The following is a 26,513-nucleotide window of genomic DNA, read 5'->3' on the forward strand; positions in this document are numbered from 1 at the left end:
TAGTTAACGAACATTTTGTCTCTGTAGATTCCTCTGGTCTGTGAAAGTTTCTCAGTCTTTCCTTGTTTTCTGATGACCTTGACAGTTCTGAGAAGTACTAGTCAGGTAATTTGTATCATGTCCCTCACTTTGTTTTTTCTTATGGCTAGACTAGGATGATGGGTTTGGGGAAGGAATATCATGGTGGCAACATGCCATTCACAGTATCAATAGCACATACGATCACAATGACTTATGGCTGGTAATAGTAGCCTTGATCTTGGGAGAGTGTTTGTCAGGTTTCTCACTAAAAAGTTTCTCCACTGTCCCCACCTGCTCCCATACTGCTCTCTTTGGAAAGAAATCAATAAGCACAGTCAGCGCTCTGGGAGGTGGGGTGCAGTTGGGTTAACCGCCACTTCCTGGAGGGAAGAATATCCTACACACAGTATTTGGAAATCTTCTCTAAGAGAGATTTGTCTCTTTTCTCTCATATATTCGGACATTTGTCAATATCAGTACGGACTCATGGACATTTGCTTTGTACTTTGGGCTATAATCCAATACTGTTATTTATTTTGGCCATCAGGAGCTCTTTCTGGTTTTATCTTAGGTCTTTTTGCATACCCCATTATTTTCCTTTCCTTATTTCTGGCACTATGAGATGCTATCGGCTCATCGTATCTATTCCCTGTCCCAGCCCTAGAATCAGCAGTTTCTCAGAGGAGCCCTGATTCCTTTTATTGGCAAATGGTACAGTTAGAAACCAAAATTTGGGCCTGGGTGGACATCTCCAATTGTAGTAGTTAATTCAAACAGTTTTAAAGTGGTTTTATTAATTTACACTTCAGTTGTTTATTTGCCATATTCCCTGTAAACATTTTTCTGTTTTTGGTTGACCATTTGTGTTTGAATTCTAAGGACAAGAGGTTTTAATTTCAGCATAGTTAACAATATATCTTCAAATATTCATTGTGGTTCTTGGTCAATTCCCTTACTGTGTCCAAACTGGTAAGTCCCTTCTTTCCTAAGTTGTGATGAATATTCTTTGCTGTTTTCTCCTCCCTGGTTTGAAGTATTAATGATGTACTACTTACTATATCTGGGATTTATTATGAGGATACTAATTAATTCTTGTCAAAATGGTTTACAAGTTGTGCTAATGAACGACCCTGAATTATTTCCTCCCAATTATGGTGTCTCTTCTATAATATATTGAAATCTAATGAGAATGTATTTTCTTGGCTATCTACTCTTTTTCTTTGATTTAATTATCATGACAGAAGTTGTACATTTAGGCCAGGCACCATGGCTCATGCCTGTCACCTGTAATCCCAGCACTTTGGGAGGCCTAGGTGGGCAGATCACTTGAGGTCAGGAGTTGGAGACTAACATGGCCAACATGGTGAAACCCTGTCTCTACTAAAAATCCAAAAATAAATAAATAAATAAATAAATAAATAAAATTAGCCAGGCATAGTGGCAGGCACCTGAAGTCCAAGTTACTTGGGTGGCTAAGCCATGAGAATCGCTTGAACCCAGGAGGGAAGGCAGAGGTTGCAGTGAGTGGAGATCCACCACTACACTCCAGCCTGGGCGACAGAGCGAGACTCCATCTCCAAAAAAACGAAGTTGTTCACTTAGCAGTAGAGGTTAGACTCTTGAAGTTTTTTCAACTGGGGGGAAATTTGCTGCCCTGGGGTCATTTGGCAATATCTAGAGACATTTTTTGTTTGTCACAACTGTAGAAGATCCAGGGTTCTAATTGGCATCAAATAGGTAGAAGCCATGAATGCTGCTCAACATCATATAACGCACGTATAGTATCCCCCAAGGAAATATCCAGCCTAAAATGTCAGTACTACTGAGGCTGGGAAACTGCTATAGGAGATTTAATTAGAGCGACCAAGAAAGGAAATCAATCCGGACTATATGAAAAGGGTGGAAACACCTGGCTTCCTAGGTCAAATCTTACCTCCCTGAGACCTCCATATCTCTCCCCTCTCTAGGTGAGATTCCCTTCTCCCTTTGTGTCCTCCTAGAACTACTCTGGCCCAGATGATAGTCATGCTATATTTAGAGGTCTTCCTCTTCTAGTCTGGTGTTCAGCATAGGGTCTGCTATCACAGAGCATGGCCACACAGATTTTGTATAACTCTGAATTTCCAATGCCTAGGAAAATGAAGTGAAATTAAAAGGCAATGCTATGTAGTAGAAAGAGAATGAGCTTTGTAGTATGATAGGCCATTTGTCAACTCTATGACCTGGGCAAGTTTCTTAATTTCTGAGACTCCGTATCTATAAATGTGGATAAAATCAAACTTTCAGGTCTGTTTTAAAGTCTAGAGAAAATTTTTGTAAAGAATCTATATACACTAGGTCCTCACAAATATAGTCATTATTAATATGAGCTAATTATTTTGAACAAATATGCTTTGTTATAGGCAAAAATTTACATCAATAAATTTGCAAATTAAAATCCTCATAGACCATGGGTTCCCATTTTAGTTCAGGGCATTTTTGAATGAATGAATGCCTTCCTATAAGAGAAACAGTGCCAAACATGTGTTCCTCTTTCTAAAAAGGTAAAAAGCCAAAACAAAACAACAAATTCCTTCGAGGACAGCGTAAAACCTTTGGGAAGGAGACTATAGTATATTCTACTCTACTATAATTGTAGATATCATATAGTAGAAAGCTAATAGGGTTCAGACTCATATAGATCTCGGCTCAAAGGGACACCCAGAAAGGAGGAGGAAAATGAAAAAAGTGTGGGATTATGACAGCAAAGAGACAAGTGTAAATATCAAGATGTAAGGCATTGTTAAAATAGTATTATTAACATATGGCACCTTGTTAAAGTTAGGTGCATGCGTTAGCTTTTTTAATCCTTGCAGAGGTAGGTACTCTTGCTATTCCTGCTTACAGATGGGAAAATTGAATCCCAAAATGCCCCTTGAGTTTTGTAACAAGGAGGTTATTGGTATGAGTTATTTCAGTGGAATTGTGGTGGCAAAAGTTCTATTGCAGTGGATTGAGGAGGTATAATATAATAGGTGATAGAGTATAGAAGATTGAAGAAGTTTGACTATGAAGATGAAGGGGATTTGGAGTAAAGGGAATATTTGTAAAAGACTAAGTGAGATTTGGGCACATTTAAGTGCTAATGAGTAGGACTTAGGGGACAGGGAGAAGTTGAAGATCAAGAAGATAGATTTCTAATGGATTAAATCCCTTCAGGAACAATTGCTTATGAGATTTAGATCACAGGTAGAGAAATAAGCTATAGAAAAGGGAAGAGAGCGCCCCTCATTTGTTACAGGAAAGACAAAGATAAAGATGGACCCACATGTAGGGATACCTGCAGATTTCTAGAAAGGAAGCGGAAGATGTATTCTGTGCCTTGCTTTCCCTCACCTACCATATTCTCTATGTCCTGGAGAAATTTCAGAGTTCTTTTTTGAAGTTTCCTCAAATCTTTTCCTTTATGCTTTTTAAAAAATTACTATAGGACTTGTTTTTGTCAGATTTATCTGTAATCTAGAATATTTTTACCATGTAGTTAAACAAACAACCTTAAAACAGCTGATAGCTCACCAATTACTGTAGGATAAAATCCAGATTTACTATATGTTTCGAGACAATTCACCTTCTGTTTAAAAGAAAAACTCTCCCTTCTATATACTTTTATTTCCCCCATCCGTCTTTTTTTTCCAATCATATTAGCAAGAATTGGGGGAGACATTATGAAAGACTGGAAAGGGCAGGAATTTTAGTGAAAGATCTAAGTTGAGTTCCAGCTGCATCACTTACTAGCTCTATCTCTTCAGGCAATTCACCAAAACAGATTAAGAAAACTTGATGGTGCTTGGGAGAGTATGGATTAAGTGATTAATTGGAGCACCCATGCTGAATAAGAAATTGAATAAGGCCCTTAAGATGGCTGATGAGGGGTAAACGCAGGGCTCAAAAGGATTTGATGATGTTTGAAGAACTGTCACCGAGTAAGGGCATGAAACCACTCAGTTAACTGGAAGATATTAGTAAAAAATGGGTTATGGGAGTTTGCAGCTTAAAAGTTTGAGTAGTCATTGACAAAGCCTGGGGTGAGAGCATTAGAGTAAACTGCCAGAGAGCAGTAAGGTCATGGGAGTTGATGTCAAAGACGTGAGATGAGGATGTTTTTGATGCACTTTAACACTGAACTCACCCAGACTAACTGTGGTGTTGGGGAAAGTGCATGAAAGGAGCTTGTGTACTACAAAAGACCCTCAGTAATTATATATGTATTTATGACCAGAAATGACATGACAAGAAGAGGTAGATGGTGGCATATTCTAATTGCATGTGTTTGTTGAGTAATAATGTGTTGGCAGGGGTGCAATAACAATGTTTTATAGGTTGAGATGTATATTAGATGTTGTTGGGGGATAGAAGGGATGAGGATGGACAGTTAGCAATACTTAGGAGGAGCCAGTTCTGTGCCAGGTGATATATGAACCCTATCTTATTTGATCCATACTAAAATTAGAGGTTGGCTCTGCTATCCCCACTTAGCAGAAGAGTAAGTTGAGGTTCAAAGAGAGGAATTACCTTTATTTATATAGCTCATAAGTGGTAGGACTGGGAACAGATCATAAGAAGATGGAATAAATATACAGTACAGTGGTCTATATCAGAGGAATGCTTTGTGAAAGAAGATATATTACAGAGGACACTAGGTCAGTACCGAGCCTAATACAGTGGGCTTCTGCAAATGTTTGTTAAATTAATCTATATAAGTATTTCATTTTCAAATCTGTCTTTTTCATGTGTCCCATTTATTCCATGTGCTTTTGGTTATTTTTTTTCCCCCCACAGAGGCCTGAATATTTGGACAAGATGGCAGATTCATCATCATCTTCTTTCTTTCCTGATTTTGGGCTGCTATTGTATTTGGAGGAGCTAAACAAAGAGGAATTAAATACATTCAAGTTATTCCTAAAGGAGACCATGGAACCTGAGCATGGCCTGACACCCTGGAATGAAGTGAAGAAGGCCAGGCGGGAGGACCTGGCCAATTTGATGAAGAAATATTATCCAGGAGAGAAAGCCTGGAGTGTGTCTCTCAAAATCTTTGGCAAGATGAACCTGAAGGATCTGTGTGAGAGAGCGAAAGAAGAGATCAACTGTGAGTGATGCTAGGGGCAAATCGGGGGCTAGGCAGGAAGGAAGTGTTTCCTGGAGCCCAGTGGAATGTTTCTGTAAGAGGGATTTAGGGATTAAACCATGTTGGGGGACATAAGCTCCATGGTGGTCTTGTGCATGGGGAGCTTGTTGAATTATTTGAGGAAGGAAAGGCAGAAGCGTTTTGAGTACTGTTACTCAGCCTAGCTCCTTAACTGGCGGCAATTCATCCATCTTGTACCAGTTGAAATGATCAAAGGAATTGAGTGATAGGAATTGTCCCATAAAGTGCCTTCACCAAAACTACAAGTTATAAGTTAGGCAACATTTTGAGGAATCAAATATGATTTAACATATTTGCTGAAATATGAGGAATGGGCTGAAAATTATTATTGGACGTAATCCAAGGCAGTATTTTTAGTCATTCTCAGGTATGAAATATTATAGACCTCTAGAATTCCTTACGCGTATACAAGGCTTTAGAGTTATATATATATATGTATATATATAATATTCATATCTATTATCTCCTTTGCACCTCACCGTATCGTAGTGAAGTCAGTATAGACAAGGAAACTGAGGCTTATACACTACACTATTTGCCCTGGAGCTACAAGGTGGGGGCCATGGCAAGAGGTCTCCTACTTCAGTGTTATCTGTATCACATTGTTTCTTCTCTCAGCTAAGCTTATGGAGTCTGAGGCTCTGGCAGCTCTAGTTTTCTTAAACCCAGATAGTCATAGAATTGGACCACTTATGTGAATGCTGGCCTCTGTTCTAGCCATCATGAAAGCTCACTTTGTTTTCATTAAATATCATGATCCTATCGGAACCTGTTGCAGGGTCGGCCCAGACTATAGGACCAGATGATGCCAAGGCTGGAGAGACACAAGAAGATCAGGAGGCAGTGCTGGGTGAGTAGTTAGGCCTTTCATCAGATTTGGGAGGCATTCAAAGTTTTGATACAGGACGGTGATTTATCTCCCGAGGACTTTTGTTCAAATCTTGTTAACTTCTTCTAATACCCCACCTGTTCCCTGAATGTCACCCAAAAAGGATCAGCAAAACACTCCCTGGCCAAAGTCAGAATCAGGGCCTTGTTAATTCAGATCCTCAAGAGAACAGTGTTTAGAATGCCTGCTAAAAGAAGGGCTGACGCACAAAGGTATATTAATGTTTATATTTTATGGACTAAAAGTCACTGAATTGGGAGGAAACTTTCAGTTTATCACATCTACTTTCTTTAAAGATGGTGCTGTAATTAAATTCTAGGAGTGGTGACCAACTGGTTCATATAAAAACTGATTTCTAGAACCAGGTCTTCTCAGTCATAGTTAACACAGGGGTCCCCAACTCCTGGGCCACAGACCCCTACTGGTCGGCGGCCCCTCGGGAATCAGGTCGCATAGCAGGAGGTGAGTGGTAGGCCACGGGAGCTTTACCACCTGAGCTTCGCCTCCTGTCAGATCAGCAGCTGCTTTAGTCTCATAGGAGCACGAACCCTATTGTGAACTGTGCATTCAAGGGATCTAGGTTGTATGCTCCTTATGAGAATCTGATGATAAATGTAATGCAATTGAATCATCCTGAAATCATCTCCCCTCCCTGCCCTGCCACCCCTGCCTCCTACATCCATGGAAAAATTGTCTTCCATGAAACTGGCCCCTGGTGCCCAAAAGATTGGGGATTTCAGACCACTGGTTTATTAACACCATTTCCCCACTTTGTTTTGAATTCTACATAATTTAATTCCAATTTATATAAATGGAATTACAGTAGAAAGAAAATTAGATCAAGTGAGAAACCTTTATTCTTAACCCAGCCACATTCTAACAAGCCACATTATTTCATTCAAGAAATAATTGAAAACTTAGTTCATCCCAAGCACTAAAATAGAAAAATTACTTGTTATCTTAAATGACCTTGAATATAACATCCCACTGTGACCTTAATTTCTGATTCAATATAAAGAAGTATATCTTTATGGTATGAGAAAAATCACATGGCTAATAATTTTTGTTTTATTATTATTTCAAACCTAATGGCTATTTCCCTCTTATGTGCAGATAATTGCACACAGATAGCTAATAAATGTCTTCAAATTATTATTTGAAAATTGTGATAAAAGTAAACTATTTATTATGGGAACTTTGGAAAATACTGTAAGTACAAAATAGAAAATAAGAAGTACAGCAATGATTTACTGATTATTTTCTCTGTGAGTATACCAATATCACACTGTTTGAATTACTATAGTTTCGTGGTAGGTTTTAATTTTGGGTAAATAGTGTTTTTCTTCTCCCTGCCTGGCCAATCATTATTTTCGCTTTTTGGGATTTTTTAGTTATCATTTGTTTATGTTTTATCTTTGTTTTTAAACTTCACATAAGCAAAATGAGCTATTTTTTTAAAAAAGATTCAAATGTTTTAAAATTACATAAAGTGAGTTTCTCACTCTTCCCACTCCCCATCCCCAATCCTACTATTCAGAAATAACCAGTATTAATATATTGGTGTATATGGTACATGTTTTCAGATACATAAAGTTTGTTCATCTTTTTTCCAGGAGAGGATCATATTCTACATAATTGCCAGAAACTTCATATCTTTTTTGGTTATTATTTGGGGGGATATTAGTACCTATAGTTATACCTTATTCAAAAGTTGTAAAGTACTCAATTATATCATTGTATTCTCATTTTTTTATTGCACAAATATATTTGACACTTATGTGCACGGAAATGTGTTAGACACTGACCATGCAATGATGAAGCCCCTAGCCAAGTGCATCATTTATTTTAAAAATAAAGTAATTGTAGCTAGTGACATGTACTGTGAATGAAAAATATACTGTTTTGAGAATATATAAAAAGGGGAAGTAGTCTAGCGATGAGGTTCAGAGAGGTCTTCCCTGAGATCCTATCCTTTTAATAGAGATCTAAAGGAGGGATCAGACTTAAACAAGTAAAGATGAATTATATTTTCATTCTATTTCACTCAGGATGTTTTTCTTTTTTCAAAATATTATTTAAGCTACGATTCAATGTTTATTTCTATTAACTTTTTACTTGTACAAAGAAAATTATTTTGATCTGTAGATTCAGGTCTGTCTTGGGGGTCTTCCCTATTATTGTTAATGGTTGCCTCTGTTCTTTTTTTTTTTAATCTGGATGACATCTCTGTTCTCCACATCTATTATCTTTTTTCTATGTAGAAGGAAAAGTACAAAGAAGAAAAAATATTTCTAAAGTGAATCCAGTTTTTATTTCCCATCACAAATTCATTTTTCTGCATCATCTATTCTGGTTTTTATTACAGTATCTAATACAGGTTTTAAATCTATAGGAATATTTTTATTTATATTATTTTTAAAAAATCAAAACCAGCTCTGATTTCAGCCTATGTTCTTTCTTGTTCCTAATTCCAAGTTCGGTATTCTTGACATTACATTTCATAGAATTTGTTTTGATCATGTGTCTTTGTTTTTGTTTTTTTACCTTTGCCATTCTGACTTAGGTGATGGAACAGAATACAGAAATAGAATAAAGGAAAAATTTTGCATCACTTGGGACAAGAAGTCTTTGGCTGGAAAGCCTGAAGATTTCCATCATGGAATTGCAGAGAAAGATAGAAAACTGTTGGAACACTTGTTCGATGTGGATGTCAAAACCGGTGCACAGCCACAGATCGTGGTGCTTCAGGGAGCTGCTGGAGTTGGGAAAACAACCTTGGTGAGAAAGGCAATGTTAGATTGGGCAGAGGGCAGTCTCTACCAGCAGAGGTTTAAGTATGTTTTTTATCTCAATGGGAGAGAAATTAACCAGCTGAAAGAGAGAAGCTTTGCTCAATTGATATCAAAGGACTGGCCCAGCACAGAAGGCCCCATTGAAGAAATCATGTACCAGCCAAGTAGCCTCTTGTTTATTATTGACAGTTTCGATGAACTGAACTTTGCCTTTGAAGAACCTGAGTTTGCACTGTGCGAAGACTGGACCCAAGAACACCCAGTGTCCTTCCTCATGAGTAGTTTGCTGAGGAAAGTGATGCTCCCTGAGGCATCCTTATTGGTGACAACAAGACTCACAACTTCTAAGAGACTAAAGCAGTTGTTGAAGAATCACCATTATGTAGAGCTACTAGGAATGTCTGAGGATGCAAGAGAGGAGTATATTTACCAGTTTTTTGAAGATAAGAGGTGGGCCATGAAAGTATTCAGTTCACTAAAAAGCAATGAGATGCTGTTTAGCATGTGCCAAGTCCCCCTAGTGTGCTGGGCCGCTTGTACTTGTCTGAAGCAGCAAATGGAGAAGGGTGGTGATGTCACATTGACCTGCCAAACAACCACAGCTCTGTTTACCTGCTATATTTCTAGCTTGTTCACACCAGTAGATGGAGGCTCTCCTAGTCTACCCAACCAAGCCCAGCTGAGAAGACTGTGCCAAGTCGCTGCCAAAGGAATATGGACTATGACTTACGTGTTTTACAGAGAAAATCTCAGAAGGCTTGGGTTAACTCAATCTGATGTCTCTAGTTTTATGGACAGCAATATTATTCAGAAGGACGCAGAGTATGAAAACTGCTATGTGTTCACCCACCTTCATGTTCAGGAGTTTTTTGCAGCTATGTTCTATATGTTGAAAGGCAGTTGGGAAGCTGGGAACCCTTCCTGCCAGCCTTTTGAAGATTTGAAGTCATTACTTCAAAGCACAAGTTATAAAGACCCCCATTTGACACAGATGAAGTGCTTTTTGTTTGGCCTTTTGAATGAAGATCGAGTAAAACAACTGGAGAGGACTTTTAACTGTAAAATGTCACTGAAGATAAAATCAAAGTTACTTCAGTGTATGGAAGTATTAGGAAACAGTGACTATTCTCCATCACAGCTGGGATTTCTGGAGTTGTTTCACTGTCTGTATGAGACTCAAGATAAAGCGTTTATAAGCCAGGCAATGAGATGTTTCCCAAAGGTTGCCATTAATATTTGTGAGAAAATACATTTGCTTGTATCTTCTTTCTGCCTTAAGCACTGCCGGTGTTTGCGGACCATCAGGCTGTCTGTAACTGTGGTATTTGAGAAGAAGATATTAAAAACAAGCCTCCCAACTAACACTTGGTAAGTGTGTTAGGGCCATTCCCTGGAAGTGCCCTGTAAGGGAGAGACGTAGATATTTGTCAGAGGGAGGAGGCGTTTAGCTGAGGTCCCAGAGCTGAGATAACCCTCTGGAGTTGTCCCATCTTGAGGCAGGGAGGCTAAGCATTTAAACCCCTTATTGACCAATCATGGCTACTGGTGAGGAGTGGGCAAAAACTTTCCTGAGATGGCTTTTTTTGGCCTGAAGGCAATACCAGGAGAGGGACTGGGCTGAGGACTCTCAATTGTTGACAATCTCAACAACTCAGGGGGAATGAGCACTTCAGTCTTCAAGGAGGAATGTGGCATGGCACAAACTTGCATCCATGATAATAAGTATATTTGATTTCTAAAGATAATGTCATCCAGAATAAGGGACCAGAAATTTTCTGCTGAACCTGGTAAACACAGGTTATCTCTCTGTATTATATTCCTCCGTACTCCACTGACCTAGCTCGCTTTCTCTATTGCCCAGACATTGGTTGGCCTTTGTTTTGTAGTTTGTGAAGGGTCTCAGCCCTTTAATGCCTATCTGGAGACACTGGAGGTTAATAAGAAATAGTAGGTGCTAAATAAATATTTTTGAAAAAAGAAATGAACCTTAAGTGTTTTACGTACATTATTCTACTCTACCTCCTTTCTCAAGTTGCCTTTTCTGACTACCCATCTAAATCTGAGGAAAGATTTGAACTATGGAATTCATTCCCAGATGTATATAAAATTAATTGAGGACTTCCTATGTGCTATATAGTTGTATAGTGAACTGGATATTTAACATAATGTGCAATTTAATGTTGTTGGCAACCATCTCTATTTTTAAGATTACAAAACTCAGAGACATATACCTAGAAAATTTATTGATTCAAGCACACATCAAATAATAGTTAAGTGGCTAAGTGCTTATCACATAACCTGACAGTCTTCTAAGTCCTTGATCTCATTTAGTCTTCTGATAGTCTTATTAGGTAGGTGCTATTATTTCCATTTTACTTAGGACAAAATTGTGATACCAAGAAGGCATATAACTTGACTGAGGTCACACATCTGATTGTAATTTCTTGGTTTGCTAACTTTATCCAAGCTGTTTCAGTACCATTATATACAATTGCAGAATCACTCCTTTCTTATAAGAGCATACATTTCATTTATTTGCAAACTGTGGGAGTAGAAATTGTGGGCCCTGATGCTATGACCTTTACCCACCTTGGAAAATTGTGAGTAATCGTCAGTCAATTTTCTTAATTCTGACTTCAGAGTTCTATTTAAAGAAGATGTGATTTAACAGGGCATTAAAACGTCTTTTATGCCTAATAGTAAATGCTAGAACAGTATTCTGGCCACTAGATTGCCAGTTCTCCTGCTAGCTTTCCTTACCTATGTTGTAGAGTTATCTAGTACTAGAGTTGATTGTTGCTAAAATAAGGAGCCAGAGAACCCAATGTTTTAAAAGAAAAACTGTAGGTGACCTCAGTCTCTTCTATAATATAACTACATTGTAAGCTTTGTGAGAGCAGGAGCTCTGTATGGTTCACCATTTTATCTCGTGTTCGCACAGAGGAAACACTTGAATGCTTGAAAGAATAATTTATTATCCTGTTTTTATAAATTTAAGACCTCAAGTGATATAGACCATCACTATGAACTGTCATTCATTCCAATTTAAGATATGGGAATGAATATTTATTGACTAGCTGTTATATATAAGGCAACACACTAGACTTTTACATGTTTTGTATATATTATATTTAATATATACATATATATGTATATAACAGTTACTGATTACTAGGAACACTTATAGCATGAGACATTTGCTAAGCATTTTCTACATACTGCCTTATTGAATTTTCACAGTTGTCCTAAAAAATAGATACTATTATCTTCATTTATCAAGATCATGAAGCTGAGGCTCACATAGGTTAGTAAATTTTCCAGAATAACTAAGTTCAGTGAGTGGCAGTGTTGAATTGGGACTCAGAGCCGCTCCATTGTCGAGCTTATAAACACCAGGTTGTCCCCTGTTTTATTACCCTTTATTTGTTCATGAGTTTATTGATAATATTCCTAATAATTAAATTATAAAGTATTTAAAGTTTACAGTGTGCTTTTGTGTACCCTTTAAAATGCACTATTAAATTTCCACATCTTTGTGAAAGGAGACATTTCCATTTTATAGATGATGAAAATTTGCAAGTTATAGAACTTATGCAACTCTCTTAAAATAATATGGCTAGTAAGTGGTAGACCTGGGGCTCAGGCCTGTGGTTTTTAATCTATACCACTTTACACCTAATGTCTACCCACTAATCCTAATCATATTCTTTGTGACCAAATTTTATTTTTCTTTTTGATATTGGCTCTTCAAGTATTTGAATACTTCTCTCTTATCCCTCCTGAGTTGCTTCCTCTAAAGTAAAGCTTCTCTGGTTTTTATTTTGTGTGTGTTGAAGGGAGTGGATGGGAAACGGGAGAGCTATTGGACAAATAAGACCTCTGGAGTGCCCAGAGGAAGACTTCCTGGTGGACTGTGCCCACGGTGGAGCTGCACTGGATGCTCTTGCCTTTCCAAAGTACACTTACTTTTACTCCAATACTATCCTCTGAGAGTTGGCTAGGCTGAAATAAAATCAGCATTGTTTTTCTTTTCTCAATTATTTATGCAAAGGGATGGTGATCGCATTACTCACTGTTGGCAAGATCTCTGTTCTGTGCTTCATACAAATGAACACTTGAGAGAATTGGACCTGTACCATAGCAACCTTGATAAATCAGCAATGAATATCCTGCATCATGAACTAAGGCACCCAAACTGTAAACTACAAAAGCTACTGTAAGTCTGGTATGAGAAAATTTAATGGAGTTATTCTAATTTCTTTCTGTGTCCCATCTTCCACTCATACTCGTTAGGGGAAGCCAATGCTAAACAAATACTTACAATCCATTTTGTAAAATAAACAGGAACAATGGAATCCTCTGGGGACATGGGATCATTACTAACTGGTTCTCAGAGTGATTCCACAGGGCATAGTAGCTGTTCACATGGGTTTTTCAGGCTTGATTAGGAACTTTCTAAATGAAGAGCACAGAGCTAAAACATTCTAGGCAGGTCACCAATGCACTTTCAAGGACATGTTCTGGAACTTACTATCCTCTTAAATTTTTTTCTATTGAGGAAAAATTTGCATTTAACAAAGTCCACAAATAATGTTCAGTTTGTTGTGTTCTGACAAGTGTAAACATCTTTATAACCAACACACCCAAAACAAGATAGAAAATATTTTCATTTATCTCAGAAAGGTCCCTTGTACCCCTTTCGTTTTTTTTTTTCCTGAGACAGGGTCTTACTCTGTTGTCCAGGCTGGAATGCAGTGATGCTATCGCAGCTAGAACTCCTGGGCTCAAGCAATCCTGCCACCTCAGCCTCCCAAGTAGCTGGGATTACAGGCATGTACCACCATGCCAGGCTATTTTTTTTTAATTTTTTGTAGAGATGTGGTCTCACTGTGTTGCCCAGGCTGGTCTGAAACTTCTGGGCTGAGGAGATCCTCCTGCCTCAGCCTCGTAAAGTGCTGGGATTACAGGCATGAGCCACAATGTCCAGCCTATCCCTTTCTGTTCAATCTTCTCACCCCATCCATTCCCAGAGACAATCATTTTCTAATCTCTGTCACCAGAGTTCAGCTTTGTATCTTTTTGGAATCATTTTGATTGATTTATACAGTATGTATTTTTTTTAATTTATCTTCTTTCTCTTTCTTTTCTTTTCTTTTTTTTTTTTGAGACAGTCTTGCTCTGTCACCAGGCTGGAGTGTAGTGGCACAATCTCGGCTCACTGCAACCTCCGCCTCCCAGGTTCAAGCCATTCTCCTGCCTCAGCCTCCCGAGTAGGTGGGACTACAGGCACGCAGCACCACACCTGGCTAATTTTTGTATTTTTAGTAGAGACAGGGTTTCACCATGTTGGCCAAGCTGGTCTCAAACTCCTGACCTCAAGTGATCTACCCATCTTGGCCTCCCAAAGTGCTGGGATTACAGGCATGAGCCACCACACCTGGCTATATCCATCTTCTTGTGCTCAACAAAATGTCTTCTAAAATTTATCCATTTTGTTGCAACTTTTAGTAGTTTCTTTTTTATTGCTGATTAGTATTCCATTGTATAACTATACTTATACTATAATTTGTTTATTCATTCTCTTGTTAATAGACCCCTGGAGGTTTCCCTAACCTGTTAGGAATAAGGGTAATCTTTGCCAACATTAGATGCTGTCAGTCTTTTTTAAATTTTAATTTATCTTAATTGGATTCTAGATAATCACTTTAAAATGTTGATTGTTCACATGTCTCTTACCTTTTTGTGTAAGGACTCCACTAGGAGCTGAAACTGATCCTAATCTCTGTATTTTGTGCCTGTCAATATGTACAAGGTACATTTGTTGCTTAGTATGAACTGAATGCTGAACAAATGATAGATCTTTGTTTCCATTAGCACTGAAAATAGATGTTCTTTTGGGTGGGGGCTGGGGACAGGCTTCTCACCAAATATTTTCCTCCTGATCTCAGTGTTTTTAGTGAGTTCTGACCTTAGATTTCAAGCATCTAGAGTAGGCTTGGTCTTACATATAGATGTAGTAAGACAACTAGATGTATGTTATGATTACGGGGTTCCTGGAAGTCCTTTCCACTCATCCCTAAACATTTCCCCCATATTGTCCCTTCATTGGATGTCATCAATCCGGATCTTCACAATAGCCAATGCCTTCTTGGTTAACTGACTTCCTTTCTTAGAATGGGAGGGTTGCATCAGTGGGATGACACCATGATGACTGTTCTCAGTCTGTGCCACCTTAATGTGGTCTGTCTTACTGTGGTCCCTTTTTCCTAATAAGTGAGATGGTGCCATTTATGTTTACTGAGTGCCTTAGGCACTTTTACTAGATGAGGATGGTTAGTGCTATAAATGGGTAAAGGCTTTATTTTCCTGTGTGTACTTGCCTGGGGTGAGGGGAGTGAGGGTGGAGGGTGGGTGGTGGGCCGAAAGGAGGAAAGGTGGTGTTACAAAGCGAGGTTTTGGACAGTGAACAGAAGGGCATTGGGGACTAGCAGAGACACTATAGAAGAATCAGAAATATCTGACATTGACTGAGTTAGGAGGTAGAAAGTAGGAAAAAAATTGGCAGATTTAACTTCATAATATTTTGCTTGGGCTGCCTCCGTACACCTGCCTCCGTATGCCTAACGAAGTCCCCAAGATGGCACAGCATGTTTTGCAACAGCGTTTTGTTATTACTGCACATCAGACAGTTGATGCTAATTTTGAATTAACCTTGGATTATTTAAAGATTTGGCTATTGTGAATTAATGTTATTGTAGTACTTGGAATGGCCCTGATAATTTTTGATAGTCATTCCTGGGATTACAAGTTAAAGAGGCTCCTCTTCTGCTTTTCATGATGTTATCACCTTCTTTTCCGTTAAGGTAAAAAAAACTGGGGAGTGTCAATTATCAGGTCATAAATAGAAATTGAAGTTATAACCCAATTGTTTTAGATGAAAATAAGATAAAAGAATATTCATGTAATATCCAAGAATTAGATTGAAAAGAAAGGGATCCTGTAACCAAGGAGAGAAATGGTTTTGTAATACCTCCTGCATATTTTTCTTCTGAAGGTTGAAATTTATCACTTTCCCTGATGGTTGTCAGGATATCTCTACTTCTTTGATTCATAACAAGAATCTGATGCATCTTGACCTAAAAGGGAGTGATATAGGGGATAATGGAGTAAAGTCATTGTGTGAGGCCTTGAAACACCCAGAGTGTAAACTACAGACTCTCAGGTAAGCTTTGAATTGTTTTGTCTTGTTTTGTTTTTATAATTGAGGCTTTTGTCTATCCAAGTAGACTCTTACAGCCTGGATTTGCTATTCATAGGACCGGCTTAAATCTACTTTCATGATATGGGGTAGCAAGCATCTGTAGAATCAAGCTGATTTCATCCTGGTAGGACTTCTCATTCCTCCCATCTCCCCAGGAAGATTTCTCATTGTGTAGTTCTCTGTGTCTCCATCTCCTAAATCTGCTGGTGGTGGGAATAAGAGCAGATTCAGAATTATAAATATTTAACACTTCTAATATTTAAGTGCTGCAATAGATTCGTTGTATCTTTGAACTCTCGTAGAAAATAATACAGTGGGGGATGTTCTTTAATGTAACTGGGGGCAGTGCTGGGGCAGACTCACTATTATTTGATTTTTGTTGGTGACTCCCCCTCAATTTAGAACTTCAACTCAGTGACCAGCCCAGAAGGCTGAGAAAGAAGAGCATGGAAATGGTCCTCTTTCAAGGTGCTTGCTGGCTACCACACACTATTGATCTGAGTGGTGACTCTTCTTTGGCCGATGAAAGTGAAAGGATTAGCAGTCATACTGTTCTCCACATTGTGTGACAGGTTTTAAGAAAGATCTTATTTTTCAATGAAAGTCAATGAAATAGGTTTCTGACAAAACCAGACAAAACAAATAGTTACAGTAAGTTTTGCATTAGAAGTTTTTATAAGCCCTGGACTCAGTTCAGGGTGGCCAAGACTGAAGCTTGATGCATGAAGGGCCAAAGTAGATCTGTATTTGTAGGAAGCAAATTATAATCCAGGTGTAGGAAAAATAAATGAAGTCTGGAATAAGACTTTCTTTGACGTTTTAAAAACTCTTATCGGTTTTTATAAGATGGAATTCACTTACAGCATATCTGGAAAGTTGTTGGATAATTCTCAAACATAGGTTGAGTTCAGTTGTTAGGAGGCCAGGTCAGAGTAAAGGTTTTACCTACTAAGCAGTTTTAAGATATTATGAGGCATTTTCTGTAACCTACATATCTAGTCTGAAACTCAGGTAAGAAGTATGTCACTGTTTCCTATATCTAAAAATAAAATGTATTAGTAGCAAAAAGCTGTTAAATTGAGGAAAAGAGGAAAGATGTTTTCTTACAGTGGGAGCTGTGGATCCAAGACAAGAAAAGCTTGGTGCTTGACAGATCAGTAGGACTTGATAAGATCCCTTCCATTTGAGGTTTGAGTAATGTCGTCCGCTGGTAAGCCTTGATACAGACCAAGTTGCCAGGATTTCAAATAGGAAACCATCTTTCTGGGTCAACTAGTAGGGCTCCTTGCAACAGTAAATACAATGCTTTGGCAAAAGTCATCAGAGCTTTGTAATAATCTCATACTCCATTATGTGGGACTGCATGTTCCCCCAGTGTGGATGGCCACTGAGGAGCAATCAATGGTCCTATTAACATTTCGTGTGGGAGAAGGTCCAGTTTTCTGTTTGCTTCATATCTCATGTTATAAGAGCCATGGGTAGTATGAATGTCCTCATTAGTTTGGTTTGTGTATAGACCATGCACAAGTTTTTAGAATTGCATTTTGATGTTATACTCTCTCTGTAGATGTGGGCAGTGTCGATACATCAGTAGGACTTTGCCAGTCTGTCTTGCAACATATGATCCCCAGTGATTGTTAGAACTTGGCTAATTTAAAAATAAAATACCTTCTAAAACTTTAAATTGCTCATATGAGCCCCTGTACATGAACATACTGAAAGGATACATAATCACTAATTTTCTTCTTTCTTTTTTTGAGACAGAGTCTCGTTCTGTCACCCAGGCTGGAGTGCAGTGGTGCGATCTCGGCTCACTGCAGCCTCCACCTCTGCCTCCTGGGTTCAAGCGATTCTCCTGCCTCAGCCTCCTGAGTAGCTGGGACTACAGGCCCATGCCACCATGCCCGGCTTATTTTTGTGTTTTTAGTAGAGATGGGGTTTCACCATGTTGGCCAGGATGGTCTCGATCTCCTGACCTTGTGATCCGCCTGCCTTGGCCTCCCAAAGTGCTGGGATTACAGGCATGAGCCATCGCACCTGGCCCATAATCACTAATTTTCATGAGAATGCTTTACTATAATATTTACCCAAGGCCTCCCTCAAGAAGAGGAGAAAGATCTATTCTCTTTGTCTTGATAATTTTTTTCCACATTATAGGCCTTATAATAGGTCTTAAAATATGCTTTAAGGTAAGCTCTTAAAATTTGCTGAGCAAGGAGAGACCAAAAACAAAAACAGAAACCTTGGCATAGTCCAATAATTTCTGATTGTGCCCAGGATCTCTTCTTAGTTTGCATATGCTCTGCTATTGGGGCTTTATAAGCAAGGTAAGGGAATGATTGTTGCTTCCACAAAACAGCCACCTGAAGGGTACCAAAATGGCATATAAATGCAGAGCACTCTCTATATCTTCATAGACTTTGAATTAGAAGACTAATATTTCAGAAGGGGGGCAACTAGAATAGTTAGATAAGGCCGGGTGTGGTGGCTCACGCCTGTAATCCCAGCACTTTGTGAGGCTGACAACCTTGGATCACTTGAGGCCAGTAATTTGAGACCAGCCTGGCCAACATGGCAAAACCCCATCTCTACTAAAAATACAAAAACTAACTGGGCATGGTGATGCGCACCTGTAATCCCAGCTACTCAGGAGGCTGAGACAGGAGAATTGCTTGAAACCTGGGAGGCGGAGGTTGCAGTGAGCCAAGATGGCGCCACTGCACTCCAGTCTGGGCAACAGAGCAAGACTGTGTTTAAAAAAAAACAAAAACAAAGCTGGCTAAGAGGAACTTGCCTGAGAATGGCAAATATCCACAGCTGTGTCTCATTATCAACTAGAGTAAAATATTACTTAACAGGTAGATAGCATATGGACCAATAGAAATTTTTGCTTCTTCAGGAGTGAGGAAACTCTGTGGCTCAATACAATTGTTTATAATCATGAAATGCCTAATGAATCATCATAAATGTAAACAGAATTTGGGGAAATGAGAATACACCGTTTAAAACCAGAGGTTCTGCCACCTGGGAAGACTACCAGCAAGCAGAGACTAAACTACCAGTCCTCTTCTCCATTCAAAATTTCTTTTATTCATTAATAAACCATGATATATATGTATACACAGCTTCATAATCATACCAAAAAAGTTTAAGTGAACTATCCTTTAAAGGCTGAGACCATAACTTTTTGAACAGAAATAATATTGATTATGAGACAGTATATTGATTTTTGCTGTCTTTATTTTAATATGAAGAACAAATTGTGTGGTAAGACTGTAATTTATTTTCCCACTTTGAAATTAAACCTCTCTAGAAACATTTAGATAAATTATAAACTAATCTTTAAAATACCGTATTACTTCAACATTTCAAAATCAGTAAGTTTGGAAACTGTATTTAAGTTAATATTAGGAATAACATAACCACTGTTGATAACTAACAATATAGCCAAACAATGTGATACCTCAAAACTTGACCCAGATAGTACAAAATATTTATAATCTTGGCTGATTCCCAGATTTACAAGCTTCCGGTTTATAAAGATGCTCATCATTTAGTTAACTCATTTAAATCATATATATATGATTTAAATTATATATATATATATACTTTAAAATATTAGTGTAAGTAATATGTCTACAGGAGAATTGTAGGATACTTAGGAAATTATTTAATTTAGACTTCTCATTAAAGAAATACAGAAGTTTTGTGGTCTAAAAAGCCATCATTTGTATTTTTTTCTGAGAGGATTTTGTATTTTTTTTTACTTTCACTTCTGTATTTTCAATTTTTTAGGTACATAGTAGGTGTGTATACTTACGGGTTACATGCAATATTTTGATACAAGCATGCAATGCATAATAATCACATCAAGGTAAATGGGGTATCTATCACCTCACGCATTTATTTATCCTTTGTATTAAACAATCCAAGTATACTCTTTTAGTTATTTTAAAATGTACAATTATTTTTTACGTTAGTCACCCTGTTGTCCTAGCAAATACTCAGTCTTATTCATTATTTCTAACTATTTTTTTGTACCCATTAACCATTCCCCTCTTCCCCTCATTCCCCCACTGTGCTTCCTAGCCTCTGATAACCATCATTCTACTCTCTATGTCCATGAGATATCTCCATATTTTCATTTTTCACTCCCACAAATAAGTGAGAACATGGAAAGTTTGTCTTTCTGTGCCTGGCTTATTTCACTTAATATAATGATCTCCAGTTCTATCCATGTTGTTGCAAATGACAGGATCTCATTCTTTTTTATGGCTGGATAGTACTCCAGTGTGTGTATGTACCACATTTTCTTTATCCATTCACCTTTTGATGGACATTTAGGTTGCTTCCAAATCTTGGCTATTGTGAATAGTGCTGCAGTAAACATGGGAGTGCAGGTATCTCTTCAATACACTGATTTTCTTTCTTTTGGGTATATACTCCACAGTGGAATTGCTGGATCATACGGTAGCTCTAGTTTTGGTTTTTTTGAGGAACCTCCAAACTGTTCTCCATAATAGTTGTGTTAATTTACACTGCTACTAACAGTGTATGAGGGTTCCTTTTTCTCCACATCCTCACCAGTATTTGTTATTGACTGAATTTTGGATAGGTCATTTTTACTGGAGTGAGGTAATTTCTCATTGTAGTTTTGATTTACATTTCTCTGATTATTAATGATGTTGAGCATCTTTGCATATGCCATTTGTGTGTCTTCTTTTGAGAAATATCTATTCAGATCTCTTGCCCATTTTAATTGGATAATTAGATTTTTTTCCTGTAGTGTTGTTTGAACTCCTTATGTAATATATTCTCGTTATTAGCCCCTTGTCAAATGGGTAGTTAGCACATATTTTCTTCAATTTTATGGGTTGTCTGTTCACCTTATTGGTTGTTTCTTTTGCTGTGCAGAAGCTTTTTAACTTGCTATGATCCCATTTGTCCATTTTTGCTTTGGTTGCCTATGCTTGTGGGGTATTACTCAAGAAATCTTTGCCCAGTCCAATGTCCTGGAGCATTTCCCCTATGTTTTACTTTAATAGTTTAACAGTTTGAAGTCTTAGATTGAAGTCTTTAATCTACTTTGGTTTGATTTTTGTATATGTTGAGAGATAGGAGTCTAGTTTCCTTCTTTTACATATGAATATCCAGTTTTCCCAGCACCATTTACTAAAGAGACTGTCCTTTCCACCATATGTGTTCTTGGCACCTTTGTCGAAAATGAGTCCACTGTAGATGTGTAGGTTTATCCCTGCATGTTGTATTTTTATTTATCATTGTGGTAAAACCAAAATCTCAAATTACAGAGCCAATTAATTTATCTGATGATTCACCTTGGTTTAGAATAGGCCCATGAAGCCTATCCTCTTAGTGGAAATGCTCCTTCTCTTGGCAATATCATTCCTCTGTCACCTGCAGTACATTTATATTGATCCTTAGAAACAAAAAGCTCCTGCAACCATATAGCTTCGGCAACAACTCTCCTGTTATCTCTCAATTTCTAATTCATATCAGAAAAATAATCTCATACTCAAAAAACAAAAATAAATTACGAAGTTCTTGAGCAACCTGGAAATTACACAGCAGACATTTTCAGAAGGGAAAAATACATTCACGCAGCATCTTTGAGTTCCTGGGAGTTCATCTTCAGGAGTTAGCAGTTCCTCTTTATTGAGGAATAGCCCCTTTTTCAGGTAATGGCAGTTTTCTGATTCTTGTTTGCTAGCAGGACAGGAGAACTTACTCCAACAGGGCTCAACTCATAAAGAAAGCTCCAGCGTCTTGCATCCGTTAAAATCCTACCCTGACCAACTCTCAAAGCAGAGCTTATTCTAGGTAGATGGAACATGGGTTCTCTAAGTCAACAGCATCTGTACCATCTTATGGACCTATACCAAATAACAGCTGGTCAGTGCTACAGATAGCAAGCAGTAAGGACAACAAAAACATTTATAACTTGCTGACTTTTAAGGAGCTTTGGGCTTTGGAAATTTTTGCCAAGGATGTTGTTTTGGTAGCACTATTAAGAGGAAGTCGTGCAGGCTCTTAAGAAGGAACTAAATATAAGTGATAAGCTAATCTGTCTCCTGTTTTGCTGGCTTACATTTAGGGGTCAGTTTGGAGCCATAATCCTCAGCTTTTGGCTTCCCTTTTGATTGAATCACTGGTGATTGATGTTATATATTAATACAGGTGAGAAAAAACCTCCAAACTCTAGAAAACTAGGAAAGAGTTTTATTTTTTATTACTTTATACATGTGAGAGGAGAGTGTTAATGATTTTTTTTCTGATTTGAAAAAATCTTTCCAATATTTATAAAATTTAGGAATTCAGAAATATCAATGTGAATATTACAAGAGTGACACAAAGCAAGACAATTGATAAAAAGTACAGACTTAATAGTAGGTAAGGGTTGTTTTCACAAGGCATAGCAATAATTTCTAAAGTCCAGGTATCTTATAAGATTTCATTATTATAATAAGACAAAATCATTCTTATAAAAGATTTTCTGATTTGTAATGATCTCTTCTTTGCAGCTGCAAGGGAAAGAGGGAACATTTTATTTTAATGAGGCTAAGATTTCATACATAAAGAGTTAGGCAGTCCCATAGCTGAAATTCTATTAGCACTAATACAAAAAAAAAAAAAAAAAGAAATCTCAAGAAACTCATAATATGGGAAGGATAAGAGAAAATGAACTATCAAGCATTTAATATTTATATCTACAGTTAGAAACATTTAAAAATGTTTTCAGTACCATTTTTCCTTCATAAGTGGGATATATTTTCTTTCATTTTTGTTCTGTTTTGCTTCCAAGATTTGGAAGCAACCTAAATGTCCATCAAAAGGTGAATGGATAAAGAAAATGTGGTACATATACATTTGTGTCCAGAAACTTCCAAGTAATTTTTAACTTAAGGTGATTATTAGTTATGGGTTAGTGCAAAAGTAATTGTGGTTTTGGGCAAGCTGAGCTTTTTCAGCCTTAGGCCATGTTCTAGGTCATCTATTAAGATTTAATTCTGGGCTTAGGAGGAAGCTTCTCTGTTCCTTCCTCTATAGACCCTGATTTTGATGACGAGAAACAATTCTTGAGTGACTCAAGTTGGTAAGTCTTTGATTATAAAGGAATACCCAGAGAAATTCCAAATACCAGAAATGCTGCTGCTGCTGCTGCCTGACTCATTACAAAGGGTTAGTATTACTCCCCAACATGTACAAGGCACAGGTTGTCTCTAAATATGAGTCTCTCTACATGTACTTTTTCTGTTTCTCTTCCTTTTAATCTTTAGAAACAATTTTGTTTTATTTATGATTTACTTATTGTTTTTCACTCTTAAGGACTGGATTCGTCAGAAAACACGGGCTCATGAATAAATGAGCTCACGGGAGACACAGCTTTTGCTCCCAACTTCCTGTCCATTTCTGTTCTGTTTCAGAAGTCAGAGTGTAGAATACAGTCATCCTTCACGCCATATCTTCCAAGTTGTAGTTAGCGGAAATTCCTCCCAGACTAAAAAATATTATCATTTAAAGATATTTTTGAATGCTCTCAAATGTATTTTCATAGGGAATTAAGGGGATGGGAATGTGATAAACAATCTCCTTCCCTTCCCTCCTTAACTCTGTCAGAGCCTTATGCTTTAGTTAAATAACTTTTTTTCTGTGTAGAGAAGTTGGATTTTTCAGGCAAGATTCCAAAGATTAGGAAACTTCCTACCTTTGGGATCGGTAGGTGTTGGTTGTAATTATTCTCTAAGGAGTGGTCATTCCTGCTTTTCTGTGTTGTTTTCCAGGCTGGAATCTTGCAACCTAACTGTATTTTGTTGTCTAAATATATCTAATGCTCTCATCAGAAGCCAGAGCCTGATATTTCTGAATCTGTCAACCAATAATCTGTTGGATGATGGAGTGCAGCTTTTGTGTGAGGCCTTAAGACATCCAAAGTGTTATCTAGAGAGACTGTCGTGAGTGTTTCTGTTTTGTTTTCTGTAGAGTCATTTTGCTTGGTTCTGTGTAGCTTAATTGTGATCTGATAGGGAAACTTCTTGGGTCTTGGCACTAACTGGCTCGTTTGTCAATTCTGAATAAGCTCTACATGCATCCCCCTTCTCTTCCTCTACTTCCCTCTCTTTTACTTCACTTTTAGACCTATCATTTTTTTCTGATTGACCTCTTTATTTTCATTCTTTTCCAAGCTTCCCCTCTCCCCTTCCGTGTTTTGTTTCATCATATCCTGCATACAGCTGCAATGGAATTCGTAATTTAAATAGGTTTGTTGAGGTTAATTTTATAGTTGAGGTATGGGGGTTATAAGTGCCACTGATTTCCCTGTGAAGGAGAAGAGAAGCATGGGCTTTGGGAATTGACAGATCTCTTCTCATCTCTTTCTCTTTCAGCTTAGAAAGCTGTGGTCTCACAGAGGCTGGCTGTGAGTATCTTTCTTTGGCTCTCATCAGCAATAAAAGACTGACACATTTGTGCTTGGCAGACAATGTCTTGGGTGATGGTGGAGTAAAGCTTATGAGTGATGCCCTGCAACATGCACAATGTACTCTGAAGAGCCTTGTGTAAGTGTCTTCAAGTTTTTATCCTTAATATATATTGTACATTTTGAAATATGTTTAAAATAGTAAAATATTATGAACACATTCTGTCCCTTGCTTTTTCCCTGTTACCCTTAATGAAGAAGGTGAAAGTGATATTAATAATTGCCATTTATTGTGTCCTAACTCTACTCTGGATCTTGTTTTAAACATGCTTAATCTGCAAAATAGTACCCGATGGTGTCAAATTGACCACCCAATTTTGAGGGGCCTCACTCTACAGGTGAGGAATGTGAGCCTTAGGGAGATAATGCACCTTGCTTAATATCTCACAAGAAAATGATGAATTTAGAACTAAAGCCTACCACCTATCCTAGTCTATGATCTGAGCTCAGAACAGAAATATAGCACTCTGTTGTATGTCTGAATCACATTGTGATTATTCTGCTCATTTTTGTTAGATAATTTTCTAAACATTGAATTAATAAGCCAAGGTTTTAATTTGGCCAAATATGGTTAAATTGCCTTCCAGATAGATTATTTATATTCCCAGCAGCAGTCTAGGGACCTGCACTTTAACACCCTCATTGGACATCTACAATCTTTTTGATCTGTATTAATTAAATAGTTGAAAAGTAACTTTTAAAGTAATTTAAATCTTGAGCATCTTTTCAAATGTTTTTGGCCTTTTATATTTAGGAATTTCCTCTTCATGGGCTGTTTTTTTCTGATGTTTTCTATTATATATATCTTATAGTTATTAATATCACATATATTATTATTTTTTATATATTACAAATAATTTTCTTAGCATGTTGCTTTATTTCTAACTTTCTTTATGGTCATTTTTAGAACAGATAAGTTTAAAATTTTTTGTGATGTCAAATTCTGCCTCATGACCTCAAGGAGTTTGGAAGTACCTTTCTTTTAAAAAAAATACACATATGTCATCTCATACTCTTCATGGTTTAATTTTAACGTTTACATGTTAAATTATTCCAAATTTATTTTGTTATAAGGCTTAAACTTATTTTCCCCCATATATCAGATCTATTGTACAAAAGCAATAATGGCATAATATGGATTTTCCTTACTGTTTGAAAATGCCGCTTCTATTACATACAAAGAGTACTTACTTTATTAAGATTACTCTTATTCTACTCCATCTGCCTGTTCTTCTAGTCCATGGAGCTACTTCTACAACAGAGTACTATGTATATGTGTAATGTAATGAGGTTAGCATTTAATTTATTGTAAGAAAAATGCTGAAGAATATGAGTCTAGTTTGTAGCCCAATTTGATGTATATCTGTTTCCCAAGTGAGACAGGCTGGCAGTGAGGGTGTTTCATCTGAGATGGAATGTTGGCAAATAGATAAGGGATCAAATCATGAAATCTCTTCAGAGAAAGAAATCTCTGGACAGTAGAGCAATGATTCCATCTTTCTTCACATTGTCCTTCCTGTAGGCTGAGGCGTTGCCATTTCACTTCACTTAGCAGTGAATATCTGTCAACTTCTCTTCTACACAACAAGAGCCTGACGCATCTGGATCTAGGATCAAACTGGCTACAAGACAATGGAGTGAAGCTTCTGTGTGATGTCTTTCGGCATCCAAGCTGTAATCTTCAGGACTTGGAGTAGGTTTTCTGTTGCTTTACTTTTGTGTAGTTTCAACAACAGAGTGTCTGGGGAGATACTGAAAGAAAGGCTGAGAACCGAGCATCTATCAGAGAAAAGAATATAAAGCTGATTTTCCCTCTCTCTTCTGCCTGAGACAAGCTGGGGAAGTCTGCTCATCAGATTTCTAAAAAT

General features: G+C 37.6%; 1 protein-coding gene across 3 annotated transcripts in view; it reads left to right on the plus strand.

Annotated features, from left to right (window-relative positions):
* Positions 1-26,513, plus strand: part of NLRP14 (NLR family pyrin domain containing 14) — a 70,455-nt gene that overhangs the window by 13,281 nt on the left and 30,661 nt on the right. For 2 of the 3 annotated variants that reach the window (XM_011520044.2, XM_047426867.1), the window contains exons 2-8: positions 4,840-5,149; positions 5,988-6,059; positions 8,662-10,258; positions 12,942-13,106; positions 15,945-16,112; positions 24,554-24,724; positions 26,168-26,338. In XM_011520044.2, coding sequence (XP_011518346.1) covers positions 4,861-5,149; positions 5,988-6,059; positions 8,662-10,258; positions 12,942-13,106; positions 15,945-16,112; positions 24,554-24,724; positions 26,168-26,338 — 2,633 coding nt within the window. In that variant the 5' untranslated portion in view covers positions 4,840-4,860. Of the gene's footprint in view, positions 1-4,839; positions 5,150-5,987; positions 6,060-8,661; positions 10,259-12,941; positions 13,107-15,944; positions 16,113-23,950; positions 24,122-24,553; positions 24,725-26,167; positions 26,339-26,513 lie in introns of all 3 variants that reach the window. The other variant, NM_176822.4, reaches the window with a different exon arrangement.

Source organism: Homo sapiens, chromosome 11 (assembly GCF_000001405.40).
Source record: "Homo sapiens chromosome 11, GRCh38.p14 Primary Assembly".
In the NCBI taxonomy this organism is placed as follows: domain Eukaryota; kingdom Metazoa; phylum Chordata; class Mammalia; order Primates; family Hominidae; genus Homo; species Homo sapiens.